The sequence below is a fragment of the Homo sapiens genome, chromosome 20, assembly GCF_000001405.40.
Source record: "Homo sapiens chromosome 20, GRCh38.p14 Primary Assembly".
Lineage (NCBI taxonomy): Eukaryota > Metazoa > Chordata > Mammalia > Primates > Hominidae > Homo > Homo sapiens.
The window spans coordinates 48,498,065-48,517,955 of NC_000020.11; the positions used below are offsets into that span (position 1 = coordinate 48,498,065).

General features: G+C 54.0%; 1 long non-coding RNA gene across 1 annotated transcript; it reads left to right on the plus strand.

The window, feature by feature from the left end:
- Positions 1-1,909, plus strand: LOC105372647 (uncharacterized). The gene is made up of 2 exons (XR_001754658.2): positions 1-1,237; positions 1,681-1,909. It is a non-coding gene; the product is annotated as an uncharacterized LOC105372647 (long non-coding RNA).
- The last annotated feature ends 17,982 nt before the right edge of the window (positions 1,910-19,891 follow it).

The window sequence follows — 19,891 nt, forward strand, 5'->3', positions numbered from 1 at the left end:
GCTGCAGAAAGGGAATCCCAGACAGGGGTAACAGTAGATGCAAAGGCCCCATGGCAGGCACCAACTCATACAGGTTTGCCCAGAACTTTCCCAGTTTTAACACTAGAAATCCCATGTCCTAGAAAACTTCTGAGTCTCAGCCAAGCTGGGATGATTTGCCTGGAACTGCCCCTGTTATAAAACTGAGAGGTCTGTGCCCCACGACCCCCCTCAGTCCTGAGCAAGCTGAGACAGTGGATTGCCCTAGACTGGAGCAACGTGCATGACGGTGGGAAGAGCCAGTGACTCTCTTTCATGTCCTCTCTCCCCTCAACCTCAGGAGTCACCCAGGTGGGCACTGACATCCAGGATGAAAACTTCCCAGCATCCCTTGCAGCAAGCAGTGGCCACGTGACCAGGCAGTGGCCAATGCACATGAGGCCAGTGCACAGCAACTGCCATTAGAGGAAGGAAGATTTGTGTCCTCTTGTTCTCTTCTCCCCTCCCTGCTGGCTGGCAGTAGATAGGATGGACACTGTGGGGGAAGCTACACCCTAAGGAAGTCAAAGCAGCAAGATGGAAGTACCCTAAGACCCTGAAAAATGCACAGAGAAGAATCACCTGACTGGCTTGAACTTTCATGTGAAAGGAATGAACCTCTGTCTTAGTAAAGCCACCGTGATTCAGGGTCCTTGTCACATTCACTGAGGCTGTAACATAATTGTTAGAAAGAACAGGAGCGGGAGGGGGGATGGAGTCGGAGAGGCAGGCAGAGGTCAGATCACATGGGGCCTGTAGGCCAAGGCGGAGGAAGAAACAGGCAACATAGGACTCAAGGACCACACCTGCTCCCAGGCAAAGGGAGTTTGCTGTGGGTGCCCCTCCCTGTCTGTGTGTCCAGTGTGTGGCTATTATTTATACCTTGCCCATATTGTACAAATACTTTTTTCTATTCAATATTTAGAAGACATTACATTAAATAGCAAGATGGCAGATGAACATCAGGAAGGAACATTAGGAACATCCACAGTGTTCCATCCAGGAACCTTCACCGTGGAAACCCTTGTGCTCATGGGCGTGGTCTCAAGACACAGTCAGCTGTTGGGGATCAGAGGCCACACTCATCGTAGCAGAGAGGCAGGACCAACTGGGAGAGGGTCCTTCTGTGACACCTACTGCATCACCGGGCTGTGTGAAGTGACTCAGCTGCCAGAACTCACACAATATCATTCTACACCAAAACCTCATGGGAAAAATGGTAAGTTCTCAGTTTCTCCATTAATAGCAACTCTCAGATTAATCTCTCCTCCATCACTTCTCCATGGAACAACTTTTTATAGCTTTCCTTGGGTCTATTTTTCCATTTATTTTTTGTTTTACTAACTGATGGAAAGATATATATTGTATGTGTGTGATTTTGTCTCTGTCAGCCAGGATAATCATAGTTTAATTCTTATTATTTTTATTACCAACATCCTTTCGTTTTTTTAAGCTTTTCAATTCCTAAGGGTATTAATCAAGATCTTTCTGTCTCATGAGACACAGAAAACAAATCCAAACTGTGTAAGAGGAAAAAGAATGCACTCATCACTAGCATTGAGAAGTTCCCAAGTTTAGCTTGCTTGGGGTACAGCTACATCTACCATTTCCAGGGTCATCCTGTAACTCTCTCTACTTCCCCAACTTTGGCTCCATGTTTAGCTCCACGACCCTCAGGCTTAAACAGCAGTACTGGCCCCTCCCCAGATCTCCAGCTCCCTGACCCTCAAACTCCAACTGCAGCACCAGCTCCGCCCCGGGTCTCCAGCTCCACAATCCTCAAACTACAACAGCAGCACCAGCTCCCCTGTGGATCTCCAGCTCAATGACTCTCAGACTTGGGAGGCGGCACCGGCTCCCCACCAAGCCTCCAGCTCCACAACCTTCAAACTAGAACAGCAGCACCGGCTACCCCCTGGGTCTCCAGCTCCCTCAAAATTCAACTATAGCACTGGCTCTTCCCCGAGCCACCAGCTCCACAACCCTCAACTTACACAGTGGTAGCACCAGCTCCTCCCTAGGTCTCCAGCTACACGACCGTCAAACTTGAACTGCAACACCAGCTCCTCTTCGGCCTCCAGCTCCACAATCCTCCAACAACAACAGCAACACCGGCTCCTCCCTGAATCTCCAGCGCAACAACCCTCAGACTTGAGAGGTAGCACCGACACCTTCCCCAAGGCTCCAGCTCCATGACCCTCAGATTTGAACAGCGGTAGCACCAGCTCCTGTCCAGGTCTCCAGCTTCATGATCCTTAAACTAGAACAGCAGCACTGCCGCCTCCCTGGGTTTCCAGCTCCATGACCCTAAGACATGAATGAAAGAACTGGGTCACCCCAGGGCTCCAACTCCAAGACCCACAGATTTGAACGGCAGCACCGGCTCTTCCTGGGATCTGCAGCTCCACAGCCTTCAAACTAGATCAGCAGCACCGGCTCCTCCCTGGGTCTCCAGCTACACAATCCTCAGACATGAACAATAGCACCGGCTCCTCCCTGGGTCTCCAGCTTCACTACCCTCAGACTAGAACAGCAACACTGGTTCCTCCCTGGGTCTCCAGCTCTACAATCCTCAGACATAAACAGCAGCACCACCGGCTCCTACCCTTGTCTCCACTTCCACGACCCTCAAACTACAACAGCAGTACCGGCCTCTCCCCAGGTCTCCACATCCATGACCCTCAAAATAGAATGGCATCATCGGATCCCTCCTGGGTCTCCAGCTCCCAAACCCTCAAACTTCAATTGACACACCGGATCCTCCCCACAGTTAAACAGCAGCACAGGCTGTTCCCAAAAGCTCCAGATCCATGATCCTCTGACTTAAATGGCGGTAGCACCGGCTCCTCCCCAGGTCTCCAGTTCCACAACCCTCAAACTACACAGCAGCACCGGCTCCTCCCCAGGTCCACAGCTCCACCACCCTCATACTAGACACCAAGACTACCTCCTCCCTGCTCTCCAGCTACACGACCCTCAGTCTTGAACAGCAGCAGCTCCTCTCTGTACCTCAAGCCCCACGACCCTCAGACTTGAACAAGAACAACACCATCTCCCCCCAGGGCTCCAGCTCGGGGACCTACAGATTTAAACAGCAGCACCGGCTCTTCCTGTGATCTCCAGCTCCACTAACCTCAAACTAGAATAGCAGCACCGGCTCCTCTTTGGGTCTCCAGCTTCACTACTGTCAGGCTGGAACAGCAACACCGGTTCCTCCCTGGGTCTCCAGCTCAACGACTCTCAGATTTGAAAGGCAGCACCGGCTCCTCACAAAGTTTCTGGCTCCAAGGCCCTCAAACTAGAATAGCAGCAGCTGCTGCATCTTGGGTCTCCAGCTCCACAACCCTCAAAGTAGAAAAGCAGCCCTGGCTCCTCCCTGCCTCTCCAGCTCCTCAAGTCTGAGTGTTGTAGAGCTGGAGACGCAGGGAGGAGTCAGTGCTGCTGTTCTAGTTTGAGGGTCGTGGATCTGGAGACCCAGGGTGGAGCCGGTGCTGCTGTTCTAGTTTGAGGGTCATGGAGCTGGAAGACCCCGGGAGGAGCTGCTGCTGCTGTTCTAGTGTGAGGGTCATGGAGCTGGAGACCCGGGAAGGAGTCATTTGAACAGCAGCACTGGCCCCTCCCCAGGTCTCAGGCTCCACGACCCTCAGACTTAAAAAGCCGTAGTACGGGCTTCTCCCTGGGTCTCCAGCTCTACAACCCTCAGACATGAACAGCAGCACCGGCTCCTCCCCCTGTCTCCCGTTCCATGACCCTCAAACTACAACAGCAGTACCAGCCTCTACCCAGGTCTCCAGATCCACGACCCTCAAAATAGAATGGCATCACCAGCTCCTCCCTGGGTCTCCAGCTCCCAAACCCTCAAACTTCAACTGACACAGCAGATCCTCCCCACAGTTAAACAGCAGCATGGGCTGTTCCCCAAAACTCCAGATCCCTCTGACTTAAATGGCGGTAGCACCAGCTCCTCCCCAGGTCTCCAGTTCCATGACCCTCAAACTACAACAGCAACACAGGCTCCTCCCTGAATCTCCAGCTCAACAACTCTCAGACTTGAGAGGCAGCACCGGCAACTCCCCAAGGCTCCAGCTCCACCACCCTCAGATTTGAACAACCGTAGCACGACCTCCTGACCAGGTCTCCAGCTTCATGATCCTTAAACTAGAACAGCAGCACCGCTGCCTCCCTGGGTTTCCAGCTCCACGACCTTAAGACACGAATGGCAGAACTGGCTCCCCACCAGGGTTCCAGCTTCGGGACCTATAGATTTAAATGACAGCACCGGCTCTTCCCAGGATCTCCAGCTCCACTCCCCTCAAACTAGAACAGCAGCATCAGCTCCTCCCTGGCTCTCCAGCTCCCAAACCCTCAAACTTCAACTGACACACAGGATCCTCCCCACAGTTAAACAGCAGCATGGGCTGTTCCCCAAAACTCCAGATCCACAACCTTCTGACTTAAATGGCGGTAGCACTGGTTCCTCCCTAGATCTCCAGTTCCATGATCCTCAAATTACACAGCAGCACTGGCTCCTCCACAGGTCTCCAGCTCCACCACCATCACACTAGACACCAAGACTACCTCTGCCCCTCTCTCCAGCTACACGACCCTCAGACTTGAACACCAGCAGCAGCTCCTTCCTGTACCTCAAGCCCCATGACCTCGGATTTGAACAACAACAACACCAGCTCCTGCCTAGGGCTCCAGCTGCAGAACCCACAGATGTAAACGATGGCACCGGCTCTTCCCAGGATCTCCAGCGCCACTACCCTCAAACTAAAACAGCAGCACCAGCTCCTTTCTGGTTCTCCAGTTCCATAACACTCAGGCATGAACAGCAGCACCCACTCCTCCTTCCGGCTCAAGATTCACTACCCTCAGACTAGTACAGCAAAACCGGTTCCTCCCTGGATCTCCAGCTAAATGACTCTCAGACTGGAAAGGCAGCACCAGCTCCTCCGTGGATCTCCGGCTCCACGACACTCAAAACAACACGGCTCCTCCCTGGGTCTGTACCTCCATGACCCTCAAACTACAACAACACTGCTCCTCCCTGGCTCTGCAGCTCCACCACCCTCAAACTAGAACAAGACTTCTCCTCCCCAGGGTGCCAGCTACCGAACCCTCAAATTACAACAACATTGCTCCTCCCTGGGTCTGTAGCTCCAGGACCCTCAGACCAGAACAAGACCTCTCCTCCCTGAGTCTCCAGCTTCCGGACCCTTGAATTACAACAACATTGCTCCTGCCTGGGTCTGCATCTCCACAACCCTCAAATTAAAACAAGATCTCTCCTCCCTGGGTCACCAGCTTCGTGACCCTCGAACTAAAACAACAATGCTCCTGCCTGGGTCTGCAGCTCCACGACCCTGAAACTAGAACAAGACTTCTCCACCCTGAGTCACCAGCTTCCTAACCCACGAACTACAGCAACATTGCTCCTGCCTGGGTCTGCAGCTCCATGAACATCAAACTAGAACAAGACTTCTCCTCCCTGGGTCGCCAGCCTTCTGACACTCAAACTAAAACAACAGTGCTCCTGCCTGGGTCTGCAGCTCCATGACCCTCAAACGAAAACAAGACCTCTCCTCCCTGGGTCGCCAGCTTCCTCACCCTCAAACTACAACCAAATGGCTCCTCCCTGGTTCGGAAGCTCCACGACCCTGAAATTCGAACAAGACTTCTCTTCCCCCGGTTGCCAGTTACCGGAACCTTGAATTATACCAAAATTGCTCCTCCGTGGGTCTGCAGCTCCACGACCCTCAGACCAGAACAAGACCTCGCCTCCCCTGGGTCGCCAGCTTCCTGACCCTCGAATTACAACCAAATTGCTCCTCCCTGGGTCGACAGCTCCACGACCCTCAAACTCGAACAAGACTTCTCCTCCCCGGGTTGCCTGCTACCGGACCCTTGAATTACAACAAAATTGCTCCTCCCTGGTCCGGCAGCTCCACGATCTTCAAACTAGAACAAGACCTCTCCTCCCTGGGTCGCCAGTTTCCGGACCCACCAATTACAACCAAATTGCTCCTCCCTGGTTCGGCAGCTCCACAACCCTCAAACTAGAACAAGACCTCTCCTCCCTGGGTCTCCAGCTTCCAGACCCTCGAATGACAACCAAATTGCTCCTCCCTGGGTCTGCAGCTCCACCACCCTCAAACTAAAACAAGACCTCTCCTCCCTGGGTCACCAGCTTCCTGACCCTCGAACTACAACAAAATTGCTCCTCCCTGATCAGCAGCTCCAACAGCCTCAAACTCGAACAAGACTTCTCCTTCCCAGGTTGCCAGCTACCAGACCCTCGAATTACAACAACATTGCTCCTCCCTGGGTCTGCAGCTCCACGACCCTCAGACCAGAAGAAGACCTCTCCTCCCCTGGGTCGCCAGCTTCCTGACCCTCGAATTACAACCAAATTGCTCCTCCCTGGGTCGGCAGCTCCACGACCCTCAAACTCCAACAACACTTCTCTTCCCTGGGTTGCCAGCTACCGGACCCTTGAATTACAACAAAATTGCTCCTCCCTGGGTCTGCAGCTCCACGACCCTCACACCAGAACAAGACCTCTCCTCCCTGGGTCGCCAGCTTTCGGACCCTCCAATTACAACAACATTGCTCCTCTCTGGTTCGGCAGCTCCACGACCCTCAAACTACAACAAGACCTCTCCTCCCTGGGTCTCCAGCTTCCAGACCCTCGAATTACAACAGAATTGCTCCTCCCTGGGTCTGCAGCTCTACGACCCTCAAACTAGAACAAGACCTCTCCTCCCTGGGTCACCAGCTTCCGGACCCCAGAATTACAACAACATTGCTCCTGCCTGGGTCTGCAGTTCCACAACCCTCAAACTAAAACAAGACCTCTCCTCCCTGGGTCGCCAGATTCCTGACGCACGAATTACAACAAAATTGCTCCTCCCTGGTCGGCACCTCCACGAGCCTCAAACTCGAACAAGACTTCTCCTCCCCAGGTTGCCAGCTACCACACCCTCGAATTACAACAACATTGCTCCTCCCTGGGTATGTAGCTCCACGACCCTCAGACCAGAAGAAGACATCTCTTCCCTTGGTCACCAGCTTCCGGACCCCCCAATTACAACCAAATTGCGCCTCCCTGGTTCGGCAGCTCCACGACCCTCAAACTAGAACAAGACCTCTCCTCCCTGGGTAGCCAGCTTCCGGACCCTCGAATTACAACAGCATTGCTCCTCCCTAGTTCGGCAGCTCCACGACCCTCAAACTAGAACAAGACCTCTCCTCCCTGGGTCTCCAGCTTCCAGACCCTCGAATTACAACCAAATTGCTCCTCCCTGGGTCTGCAGCTCCACCACCCTCAAACTAAAAGAAGACCTCTCCTCCCTGGGTCACCAGCTTCCTGACCCTCGAACTACAACAAAATTGCTCCTCCCTGATCAGCAGCTCCACCAGCCTCAAACTCGAACAAGACTTCTCCTTCCCAGGTTGCCAGCTACCAGACCCTCGAATTACAACAATATTGCTCCTCCCTGGGTCTGCAGCTCCATGACCCTCAGACCAGAAGAAGACCTCTCCTCCCTGGGTCGCCAGCTTCCTGACCCTCGAATTACAACCAAATTGCTCCTCCCTGGGTCGGCAGCTCCACGACCCTCAAACTCGAACAAGACTTCTCCTACCCGGGTTGCCAGCTACCGGACCCTTGAATTACAACAAAATTGCTCCTCCCTGGGTCTGCAGCTCCACGACCCTCATACCAGAACAAGACCTCTCCTCCCTGCGTCGCCAGCTTCCTGACCCTCGAATTACAACCAAATTGCTCCTCCCTGGGTCGGCAGCTCTACGACCCTCAAACTAGAACAAGACCTCTCCTCCCTGGGTCGCCAGCTTCCGGACCCTTGAATTACAACAACATAGCTCCTGCCTGGGTCTGCAGTTCCGCAACCCTCAAACTAAAACAAGACCTCTCCTCCCTGGGACACCAGCTTCCGGACCCTCCAATTACAACCAAATTGCTCCTCCCTGGTTCGGCAGCTCCATGACCCTCAAACCAGAACAAGACCTCTCCTCCCTGGGTCTCCAGCTTCCAGACCCTCGAATTACAACCAAATTCCTCCTCCCTGGGTCTGCAGCTCCACCACCCTCAAACTAAAACAAGACCTCTCCTCCCTGGGTCACCAGCTTCCTGACCCTCGAACTACAACAAAATTGCTCCTCCCTGATCAGCAGCTCCACCAGCCTCAAACTCGAACAAGACTTCTCCTTCCCAGGTTGCCAGCTACCAGACCCTCGAATTACAACAACATTGCTCCTCCCTGGGTCTGCAGCTCCACGACCCTCATACCAGAACAAGACCTCTCCTCCCCTGGGTCGCCAGCTTCCTGTCCCTCGAATTACAACCAAATTGCTCCTCCCTGATCAGCAGCTCCAGCAGCCTCAAACTCGAACAAGACTTCTCCTCCCGAGGTTGCCAGCTACCAGACCCTCGAATTACAACAACATTGCTCCTCAGTGGGTCTGCAGCTCCACGACCCTCAGACCAGAAGAAGACCTCTCCTCCCCTGGGTCGCCAGCTTCCTGACCCTCGAATTACAACCAAATTGCTCCTCCCTGGGTCGGCAGCTCCACGACCCTCAAACTCCAACAACACTTCTCTTCCCTGGGTTGCCAGCTACTGGACCCTTGAATTACAACAAAATTGCTCCTCCCTGGGTCTGCAGCTCCACGACCCTCAGACCAGAACAAGACCTCTCCTCCCTGGGTCGCCAGCTTCCTGACCCTCGAATTACAACCAAATTGCTCCTCCCTGGGTCTGCAGCTCCACGACCCTCAGACCAGAACAAGACCTCTCTCCTCCCTGGGTCTCCAGCTTCCGGACCCTCAAATTACAACCAAATTGCTCCTCCCTGGGTCGGCAGCTTCACGACCCTCAAACTCGAACAAGACTTCTCCTACCCGGGTTGCCAGCTACCGGACCCTTGAATTACAACAAAATTGCTCCTCCCTGGGTCTGCAGCTCCACGACCCTCATACCAGAACAAGACCTCTCCTCCCCTGGGTCGCCAGCTTCCTGACCCTCGAATTAGAACCAAATTGCTCCTCCCTGGTTCGGCAGCTCCACGACCCTCAAACTACAACAAGACCTCTCCTCCCTGGGTCTCCAGCTTCCAGACCCTCGAATTACAACAGAATTGCTCCTCCCTGGGTCTGCAGCTCTACGACCCTCAAACTAGAACAAGACCTCTCCTCCCGGGGTCTCCAGCTTCCGGACCCTTGAATTACAACAACATTGCTCCTGCCTGGGTCTGCAGTTCCACAACCCTCAAACTAAAACAAGACCTCTCCTCCCTGGGTCGCCAGATTCCTGACCCACGAACTACAACAAAATTGCTCGTCCCTGGTCGGCAGCTCCACGAGCCTCAAACTCGAAGAAGACTTCTCCTCCCCAGGTTGCCAGCTACCACACCCTCGAATTACAACAACATTGCTCCTCCCTGGGTATGTAGCTCCACGACCCTCAGACCAGAACAAGACCTCTCCTCCCTGGGTCGCCAGCTTCCTGACCCTCGAATTACAACCAAATTGCTCCTCCCTGGGTCGGCAGCTCCACGACCCTCAGACGAGAACAAGACCTCTCTCCTCCCTGGGTCTCCAGCTTCCGGACCCTCAAATTACAACCAAATTGCTCCTCCCTGGGTCGGCAGCTCCACGACCCTCAAACTCCAACAACACTTCTCTTCCCTGGGTTGCCAGCTACCGGACCCTTGAATTACAACAAAATTGCTCCTCCCTGGGTCTGCAGCTCCACGACCCTCACACCAGAACAAGACCTCTCCTCCCTGGGTCGCCAGCTTCCGGACCCTCGAATTACAACAGCATTGCTCCTCCCTGGTTCGGCAGCTCCACGACCCTCAAACTAGAACAAGACCTCTCCTCCCTGGGTCTCCAGCTTCCAGACCCTCGAATTACAACCAAATTGCTCCTCCCTGGGTCTGCAGCTCCACCACCCTCAAACTAAAACAAGACCTCTCCTTCCTGGGTCACCAGCTTCCTGACCCTCGAACTACAACAAAATTGCTCCTCCCTGATCAGCAGCTCCACCAGCCTCAAACTCGAACAAGACTTCTCCTCCCCAGGTTGCCAGCTACCAGACCCTCGAATTACAACAACATTGCTCCTCCCTGGGTCTGCAGCTCCACGACCCTCAGACCAGAAGAAGACCTCTCCTCCCCTTGGTCGCCAGCTTCCTGACCCTCGAATTACAACCAAATTGCTCCTCTCTGGGTCGGCAGCTCCACGACCCTCAAACTCCAACAACACTTCTCTTCCCTGGGTTGCCAGCTACCGGACCCTTGAATTACAACAAAATTGCTCCTCCCTGGGTCTGCAGCTCCATGACCCTCACACCAGAACAAGACCTCTCCTCCCTGGGTCGCCAGATTTCGGACCCTCCAATTACAACAACATTGCTCCTCCCTGGTTCGGCAGCTCCACGACCCTCAAACTACAACAAGACCTCTCCTCCCTGGGTCTCCAGCTTCCAGACCCTCGGATTACAACAGAATTGCTCCTCCCTGGGTCTGCAGCTCTACGACCCTCAAACTAGAACAAGACCTCTCCTCCCTGTGTCTCCAGCTTCCGGACCTTTGAATTACAACAACATTGCTCCTGCCTGGGTCTGCAGTTCCACAACCCTCAAACTAAAACAAGACCTCTCCTCCCTGGGTCGCCAGATTCCTGACCCACGAACTACAACAAAATTGCTCCTCCCTGGTCGGCAGCTCCACGAGCCTCAGACTCCAACAAGACTTCTCCTCCCCAGGTTGCCAGCTACCACACCCTCGAATTACAACAACATTGCTCCTCCCTGGGTATGTAGCTCCACGACCATCAGACCAGAAGAAGACATCTCCTCCCTGGGTCACCAGCTTCCGGACCCTCCAATTACAACCAAATTGCGCCTCCCTGGTTCGGCAGCTCCACGACCCTCAAACTCGAACAAGACTTCTCCTACCCGGGTTGCCAGCTACCGGACCCTTGAATTACAACAAAATTGCTCCTCCCTGGGTCTGCAGCTCCACGACCCTCATACCAGAACAAGACCTCTCCTCCCTGCGTCGCCAGCTTCCTGACCCTCGAATTACAACCAAATTGCTCCTCCATGGGTCGGCAGCTCTACGACCCTCAAACTAGAACAAGACCTCTCCTCCCTGGGTCGCCAGCTTCCGGACCCTTGAATTACAACAACATAGCTCCTGCCTGGGTCTGCAGTTCCGCAACCCTCAAACTAAAACAAGACCTCTCCTCCCTGGGTCACCAGCTTCCGGACCCTCCAATTACAACCAAATTGCTCCTCCCTGGTTCGGCAGCTCCATGACCCTCAAACCAGAACAAGACCTCTCCTCCCTGGGTCTCCAGCTTCCAGACCCTCGAATTACAACCAAATTGCTCCTCCCTGGGTCTGCAGCTCCACCACCCTCAAACTAAAACAAGACCTCTCCTCCCTGGGTCACCAGCTTCCTGACCCTCGAACTACAAAAAAATTGCTCCTCCCTGATCAGCAGCTCCACCAGCCTCAAACTCGAACAAGACTTCTCCTCCCCAGGTTGCCAGCTACCAGACCCTCGAATTACAACAACATTGCTCCTCCCTGGGTCTGCAGCTCCACGACCCTCAGACCAGAAGAAGACCTCTCCTCACCTGGGTCGCCAGCTTCCTGACCCTCGAATTACAACCAAATTGCTCCTCCCTGGGTCGGCAGCTCCACGACCCTCAAACTCCAACAACACTTCTCTTCCCTGGGTTGCCAGCTACCGGACCCTTGAATTACAACAAAATTGCTCCTCCCTGGGTCTGCAGCTCCACGACCCTCACACCAGAACAAGACCTCTCCTCCCTGGGTCGCCAGCTTTCGGACCCTCCAATTACAACAACATTGCTCCTCCCTGGTTCGGCAGCTCCACGACCCTCAAACTACAACAAGACCTCTCCTCCCTCGGTCTCCAGCTTCCAGACCCTCGAATTACAACAGAATTGCTCCTCCCTGGGTCTGCAGCTCTACGACCCTCAAACTAGAACAAGACCTCTCCTCCCTGGGTCTCCAGCTTCCGGACTCTCCAATTACAACCAAATTGCTCCTCCCTGGGTCGGCAGCTCCACGACCCTCAAACTAGAACAAGACCTCTCCTCCCTGGGTCACCAGCTTCCGGACCCTTGAATTACAACAACATTGCTCCTGCCTGGGTCTGCAGTTCCACAACCCTCAAACTAAAACAAGACCTCTCCTCCCTGGGTCGCCAGATTCCTGACCCACGAACTACAACAAAATTGCTCCTCCCTGGTCGGCAGCTCCACGAGCCACAAACTCGAACAAGACTTCTCCTCCCCAGGTTGCCAGCTACCACACCCTCGAATTACAACAACATTGCTCCTCCCTGGATATGTAGCTCCACGACCCTCAGACCAGAACAAGACATCTCCTCCCTGGGTCACCAGCTTCCGGACCCTCCAATTACAACCAAATTGCGCCTCTCTGGTTCGGCAGCTCCACGACCCTCAAACTAGAACAAGACCTCTCCTCCCTGGGTCGCCAGCTTCCGGACCCTCCAATTACAACAGCATTGCTCCTCCCTGGTTCGGCAGCTCCACGACCCTCAAACTAGAACAAGACCTCTCCTCCCTGGGTCTCCAGCTTCCAGACCCTCGAATTACAACAATATTGCTCCTCCCTGGGTCTGCACCTCCAACAACCTCAAACTAAAACAAGACCTCTCCTCCCTGGGTCACCAGCTTCCTGACCCTCGAACTACAACAAAATTGCTCCTCCCTGATCAGCAGCTCCACCAGCCTAAAACTCGAACAAGACTTCTCCTCCCCAGGTTGCCAGCTACCAGACCCTCGAATTACAACAACATTGCTCCTCCCTGGGTCTGCAGCTCCACGACCCTCAGACCAGAAGAAGACCTCTCCTCCCCTGGGTCGCCAGCTTCCTGACCCTCGAATTACAACCAAATTGCTCCTCCCTGGGTCGGCAGCTCCACGACCCTCAAACTCCAACAACACTTCTCTTCCCTGGGTTGCCAGCTACTGGACCCTTGAATTACAACAAAATTGCTCCTCCCTGGGTCTGCAGCTCCACGACCCTCACACCAGAACAAGACCTCTCCTCCCTGGGTCGCCAGCTTTCGGACCCTCCAATTACAACAACATTGCTCCTCCCTGGTTCCGCAGCTCTACGACCCTCAAATTAGAACAAGACCTCTCCTCCCGGGGTCTCCAGCTTCCGGACCCTTGAATTACAACAACATTGCTCCTGCCTGGGTCTGCAGTTCCACAACCCTCAAACTAAAACAAGACCTCTCCTCCCTGGGTCGCCAGATTCCTGACCCACGAACTACAACAAAATTGCTCGTCCCTGGTCGGCAACTCCACGAGCCTCAAACTCGAAGAAGACTTCTCCTCCCCAGGTTGCCAGCTACCACACCCTCGAATTACAACAACATTGCTCCTCCCTGGGTATGTAGCTCCATGACCCTCAGACCAGAACAAGACCTCTCCTCCCTGGGTCGCCAGCTTCCTGACCCTCGAATTACAACCAAATTGCTCCTCCCTGGGTCTGCAGCTCCACGACCCTCAGACGAGAACAAGACCTCTCTCCTCCCTGGGTCTCCAGCTTCCGGACCCTCAAATTACAACCAAACTGCTCCTCCCTGGGTCGGCAGATCCACGACCCTCAAACTCGAACAAGACTTCTCCTACCCGGGTTGCCAGCTACCGGACCCTTGAATTACAACAAAATTGCTCCTCCCTGGGTCTGCAGCTCCACGACCCTCATACCAGAAGAAGACCTCTCCTCACCTGGGTCGCCAGCTTCCTGACCCTCGAATTAGAACCAAATTGCTCCTCCCTGGGTCGGCAGCTCCACGACCCTCAAACTCCAAGAACACTTCTCTTCCCTGGGTTGCCAGCTACCGGACCCTTGAATTACAACAAAATTGCTCCTCCCTGGGTCTGCAGCTCCACGACCCTCACACCAGAACAAGACCTCTCCTCCCTGGGTCGCCAGCTTTCGGACCCTCCAATTACAACAACATTGCTCCTCCCTGGTTCGGCAGCTCCACGACCCTCAAACTACAACAAGACCTCTCCTCCCTGGGTCTCCAGCTTCCAGACCCTCGAATTACAACAGAATTGCTCCTCCCTGGGTCTTCAGCTCTACGACCCTAAAACTAGAACAAGACCTCTCCTCCCTGGGTCTCCAGCTTCCGGACCCTCCAATTACAACCAAATTGCTCCTCCCTGGGTCGGCAGCTCCACGACCCTCAAACTAGAACAAGACCTCTCCTCCCTGGGTCACCAGCTTCCGGACCCTTGAATTACAACAACATTGCTCCTGCCTGGGTCTGCAGTTCCACAACCCTCAAACTAAAGCAAGACCTCTCCTCCCTGGGTCGCCAGATTCCTGACCCACAAACTACAACAAAATTGCTCCTCCCTGGTCGGCAGCTCCACGAGCCTCAAACTCGAACAAGACTTCTCCTCCCCAGGTTGCCAGCTACCACACCCTCGAATTACAACAACATTGCTCCTCCCTGGGTATGTAGCTCCACGACACTCAGACCAGAACAAGACATCTCCTCCCTGGGTCACCAGCTTCCGGACCCTCCAATTACAACCAAATTGCGCCTCCCTGGTTCGGCAGCTCCACGACCCTCAAACTAGAACAAGACCTCTCCTCCCTCGGTCGCCAGCTTCCGGACCCTCGAATTACAACAGCATTGCTCCTCCCTGGTTCGGCAGCTCCACGACCCTCAAACTAGAACAAGACCTCTCCTCCCTGGGTCTCCAGCTTCCAGACCCTCGAATTACAACCAAATTGCTCCTCCCTGGGTCTGCAGCTCCACCACCCTCAAACTAAGACAAGACCTCTCCTTCCTGGGTCACCAGCTTCCTGACCCTCGAACTACAACAAAATTGCTCCTCCCTGATCAGCAGCTCCACCAGCCTCAAACTCGAACAAGACTTCTACTTCCCAGGTTGCCAGCTACCAGACCCTCGAATTACAACAACATTGCTCCTCCCTGGGTCTGCAGCTCCACGACCCTCAGACCAGAAGAAGACCTCTCCTCCCCTGGGTCGCCAGCTTCCTGACCCTCGAATTACAACCAAATTGCTCCTCCCTGGGTCGGCAGCTCCATGACCCTCAAACTCCAACAACACTTCTCTTCCCTGGTTTGCCAGCTACCGGACCCTTGAATTACAACAAAATTGCTCCTCCCTGGGTCTGCAGCTCCACGACCCTCACACCAGAACAAGACCTCTCCTCCCTGGGTCGCCAGCTTTCCGACCCTCCAATTACAACAACATTGCTCCTCCCTGGTTCGGCAGCTCCACGACCCTCAAACTAGAACAAGACCTCTCCTCCCTCGGTCTCCAGCTTCCAGACCCTCGAATTACAACAATATTGCTCCTCCCTGGGTCTGCAGCTCCATGACCCTCAGACCAGAAGAAGACCTCTCCTCCCTGGGTCGCCAGCTTCCTGACCCTCGAATTACAACCAAATTGCTCCTCCCTGGGTCGGCAGCTCCACGACCCTCAAACTAGAACAAGACCTCTCCTCCCTGGGTCGCCAGCTTCCAGACCCTTGAATTACAACAACATAGCTCCTGCCTGGGTCTGCAGTTCCGCAACCCTCAAACTAAAACAAGACCTCTCCTCCCTGGGTCACCAGCTTCCGGACCCTCCAATTACAACCAAATTGCTCCTCCCTGGTTCGGCAGCTCCATGACCCTCAAACCAGAACAAGACCTCTCCTCCCTGGGTCTCCAGCTTCCAGACCCTCGAATTACAACCAAATTGCTCCTCCCTGGGTCTGCAGCTCCACCACCCTCAAACTAAAACAAGACCTCTCCTCCCTGGGTCACCAGCTTCCTGACCCTCGAACTACAACAAAATTGCTCCTCCCTGATCAGCAGCTCCAGCAGCCTCAAACTCGAACAAGACTTCTCCTTCCCAGGTTGCCAGCTACCAGACCCTCGAATTACAACAACATTGCTCCTCCCTGGGTCTGCAGCTCCACGACCCTCAGACCAGAAGAAGACCTCTCCTCACCTGGGTCGCCAGCTTCCTGACCCTCGAATTACAACCAAATTGCTCCTCCCTGGGTCGGCAGCTCCACGACCCTCAAACTCCAACAACACTTCTCTTCCCTGGGTTGCCAGCTACCGGACCCTTGAATTACAACAAAATTGCTCCTCCCTGGGTCTGCAGCTCCACGACCCTCACACCAGAACAAGGCCTCTCCTCCCTGGGTCGCCAGCTTTCGGACCCTCCAATTAAAACAACATTGCTCCTCCCTGGTTCGGCAGCTCCACGACCCTCAAACTACAACAAGACCTCTCCTCCCTCGGTCTCCAGCTTCCAGACCCTCGAATTACAACAGAATTGCTCCTCCCTGGGTCTGCAGCTCTACGACCCTCAAACTAGAACAAGACCTCTCCTCCCTGGGTCTCCAGCTTCCGGACTCTCCAATTACAACCAAATTGCTCCTCCCTGGGTCGGCAGCTCCACGACCCTCAAACTAGAACAAGACCTCTCCTCCCTGGGTCACCAGCTTCCGGACCCTTGAATTACAACAACATTGCTCCTGCCTGGGTCTGCAGTTCCACAACCCTCAAACTAAAGACCTCTCCTCCCTGGGTCGCCAGATTCCTGACCCACGAACTACAACAAAATTGCTCCTCCCTGGTCGGCAGCTCCACGAGCCTCAAACTCGAACAAGACTTCTCCTCCCCAGGTTGCCAGCTACCACACCCTCGAATTACAACAACATTGCTCCTCCCTGGGTATGTAGCTCCACGACCCTCAGACCAGAACAAGACATCTCCTCCGTGGGTCACCAGCTTCCGGACCCTCCAATTACAACCAAATTGCGCCTCCCTGGTTCGGCAGCTCCACGACCCTCAAACTAAAACAAGACTTCTCCTCCCTGGTTCGGCAGCTCCACGACCCTCAAACTAGAACAAGACCTCTCCTCCCTGGGTCTCCAGCTTCCAGACCCTCGAATTACAACCAAATTGCTCCTCCCTGGGTCTGCAGCTCCACCACCCTCAAACTAAAACAAGACCTCTCCTCCCTGGGTCACCAGCTTCCTGACCCTCGAACTACAACAAAATTGCTCCTCCCTGATCAGCAGCTCCACCAGCCTCAAACTCGAACAAGACTTCTCCTCCCCAGGTTGCCAGCTACCAGACCCTCGAATTACAACAACATTGCTCCTCCCTGGGTCTGCAGCTCCACGACCCTCAGACCAGAAGAAGACCTCTCCTCCCCTGGGTCGCCAGCTTCCTGACCCTCGAATTACAACCAAACTGCTCCTCCCTGGGTCGGCAGCTCCACGACCCTCAAACTCCAACAACACTTCTCTTCCCTGGGTTGCCAGCTACCGGACCCTTGAATTACAACAAAATTGCTCCTCCCTGGGTCTGCAGCTCCACGACCTTCACACCAGAACAAGACCTCTCCTCCCTGGGTCGCCAGCTTCCGGACCCTCCAATTACAACAACATTGCTCCTCCCTGGTTCGGCAGCTCCACGACCCTCAAACTAGAACAAGACCTCTCCTCCCTGGGTCTCCAGCTTCCAGACCCTCGAATTACAACAAAATTGCTCCTCCATGGGTCTGCAGCTCCACGACCCTCAAACTAGAACAAGACCTCTCCTCCCTGGGTCGCCAGCTTCCTGACCCTCGAACTGCAACAAAATTGCTCCTCCCTGGTCGGCAGCTCCACGAGCCTCAAACTCGAACAAGACTTCTCCTCCCCAGGTTGCCAGCTACCACACCCTCGAATTACAACAACATTGCTCCTCCCTGGGTCTGCAGCTCCATGACCCTCAGACCAGAACAAGACCTCTCCTCCACTGGGTCGCCAGCTTCCTGATCCTCGAATTACAACAAAATTGCTCCTCCCTGGGTCGGCAGCTCCACGACCCTCAAACTAGAACAAGACCTCTCCTCCCTGGGTCGCCAGCTTCCTGACCCTCAAATTACAACAAAATTGCTCCTCCCTGGGTCTGTGGCTCCACAACCCTCAGACCAGAACAAGATCTCTCTCCTCCCTGGGTCTCCAGCTTCTGGACCCTCAAATTACAACCAAATTGCTCCTCCCTGGGTCGGCAGCTCCACGACCCTCAAACTCGAACAAGACTTCTCCTCCCCGGGTTGCCAGCTACCGGACCCTCGAACTACAGCAACATTGCTCCTGCCTGGGTCTGCAGCTCCACGAAAATCAAACTAGAACAAGACCTCTCCTCCCTGGGTCGCCAGCTTTCTGACCCTCGAACTACAGCAATGTTGCTCCTGCCTGGGTCTGCACTCCACAACCCTCAAACTAGAACAGCAGCACCAGCTGCTTCCTGGACTTCCAGCTCAATGACTCTCACACTTCAATGGCAGCAATGGCTCCACCCCCAGGCTCCAGCTCCAACACCCTCAGATCTGAGCAGCGGCAGCACCAGCTCCTTTCTGGGTCTTCTGTTTCACGATCCTTAAATTAGAACAGCAGCACCATCTTCTCCCTGGGTCTCCAGCTCCACGAAACTCAAGCTAGAATAGCAGCACCGGCTCCTCTGGGATCTTCAGCTCCACGACCCTAAGACATCAGTGGCAGCACTGGCTCCTCCCCTGGGCTCCAGCTCCAGGACCCTCAAACTTGAACAGAAACACCAGCTCCTCCCCAGGCCTCCAGCTCCTTGACCCTCATAAACAATCCCTTCTTATGAAATGTAGCAGTCAGGAAAACTGTAGAGGAAGTAAATAAATAAATGGTTTCCTTTCAAATTGATGTTTCTTTTCTGTTCACGCAAGTCAGGAAACTTTTCTACTTTCCATCAACCTTGCAACCTACTTGCATTCAATTGTAAGATGGAAATCCATCATTTGAAATAACCTTTAAAAACTTAGTAGTTCTTTTTTACTATGATCTTATCTCACAGCTCTAGAAACGATCTTTCACTTTGCCTGTGCAGAAGTCTTGTGAACATTCAAACTATGAATTTACTTGGTTGAGATTCCTAGAATACACATTATCCCCAGATGTTCCTGCCCTCCTTAAAATCTTCTAACAAGTTCCCCTCACCCGAGCATAAATGCCAGTTTCCTATCCACAGCCCACAGTGCCCAGCACGGCCCTGCCCTCTGCCCTGACCTTATGGTCTCCCCTCTGCTGTTACTTTCCTCCCAGACAGGCCTCTGTCACTTCCTCAAACCACACAGGCTCAGGCCTGACTCCGGGCCTTTGCCCCTGCTGTGCCCCCTGCGTGGAGCGCCTTTCCCCGGCTCCCCATCCTCCTCAACCCGCTCAGCTCCAGCCTGCTGGCCGCCTCTCAGTCCATGAACACACGATGTCCTCCCCCCAGGCCTTTGCACATGCTGTTCTCTGTGCCTGAAACCCGTCCCCCCTCACCATCTGCGTTCACTTTTCTAATTTCCATTCATCCTTGGAGTCTCCCCTGAAATATCGCCCCCCGCCTGCCCCCACCACTTGGACTTAACCTTGCTTAGGTTGAAAACCCCCATCTCCTGACTCCAGGAAGCTAGATGCTATCCTGGCACTTGGAACTTTCCCATTACAACGTTTTGCGCACTCGTAATTTATTCTATTAGGTTGGTGCAAAAGTCATCGCAGTTTTTGTCATTACTCTTAATGAACGGCAGCGCCAGCTCCTCCCCGCTTTTGTTTGCCATTACCTTTACTGGCAAAAGCCGGAATTACTGCTGCATCGACCTAATAGAATAATTTATATTTATTCACCTATCATCTGTCTTGCCCTCTAGAAAGTAAGCTCCATGAGAATAGGGACCAAATCTACTCCAACCACTCCAGCTTCCTAGCACATTGTCAATAATT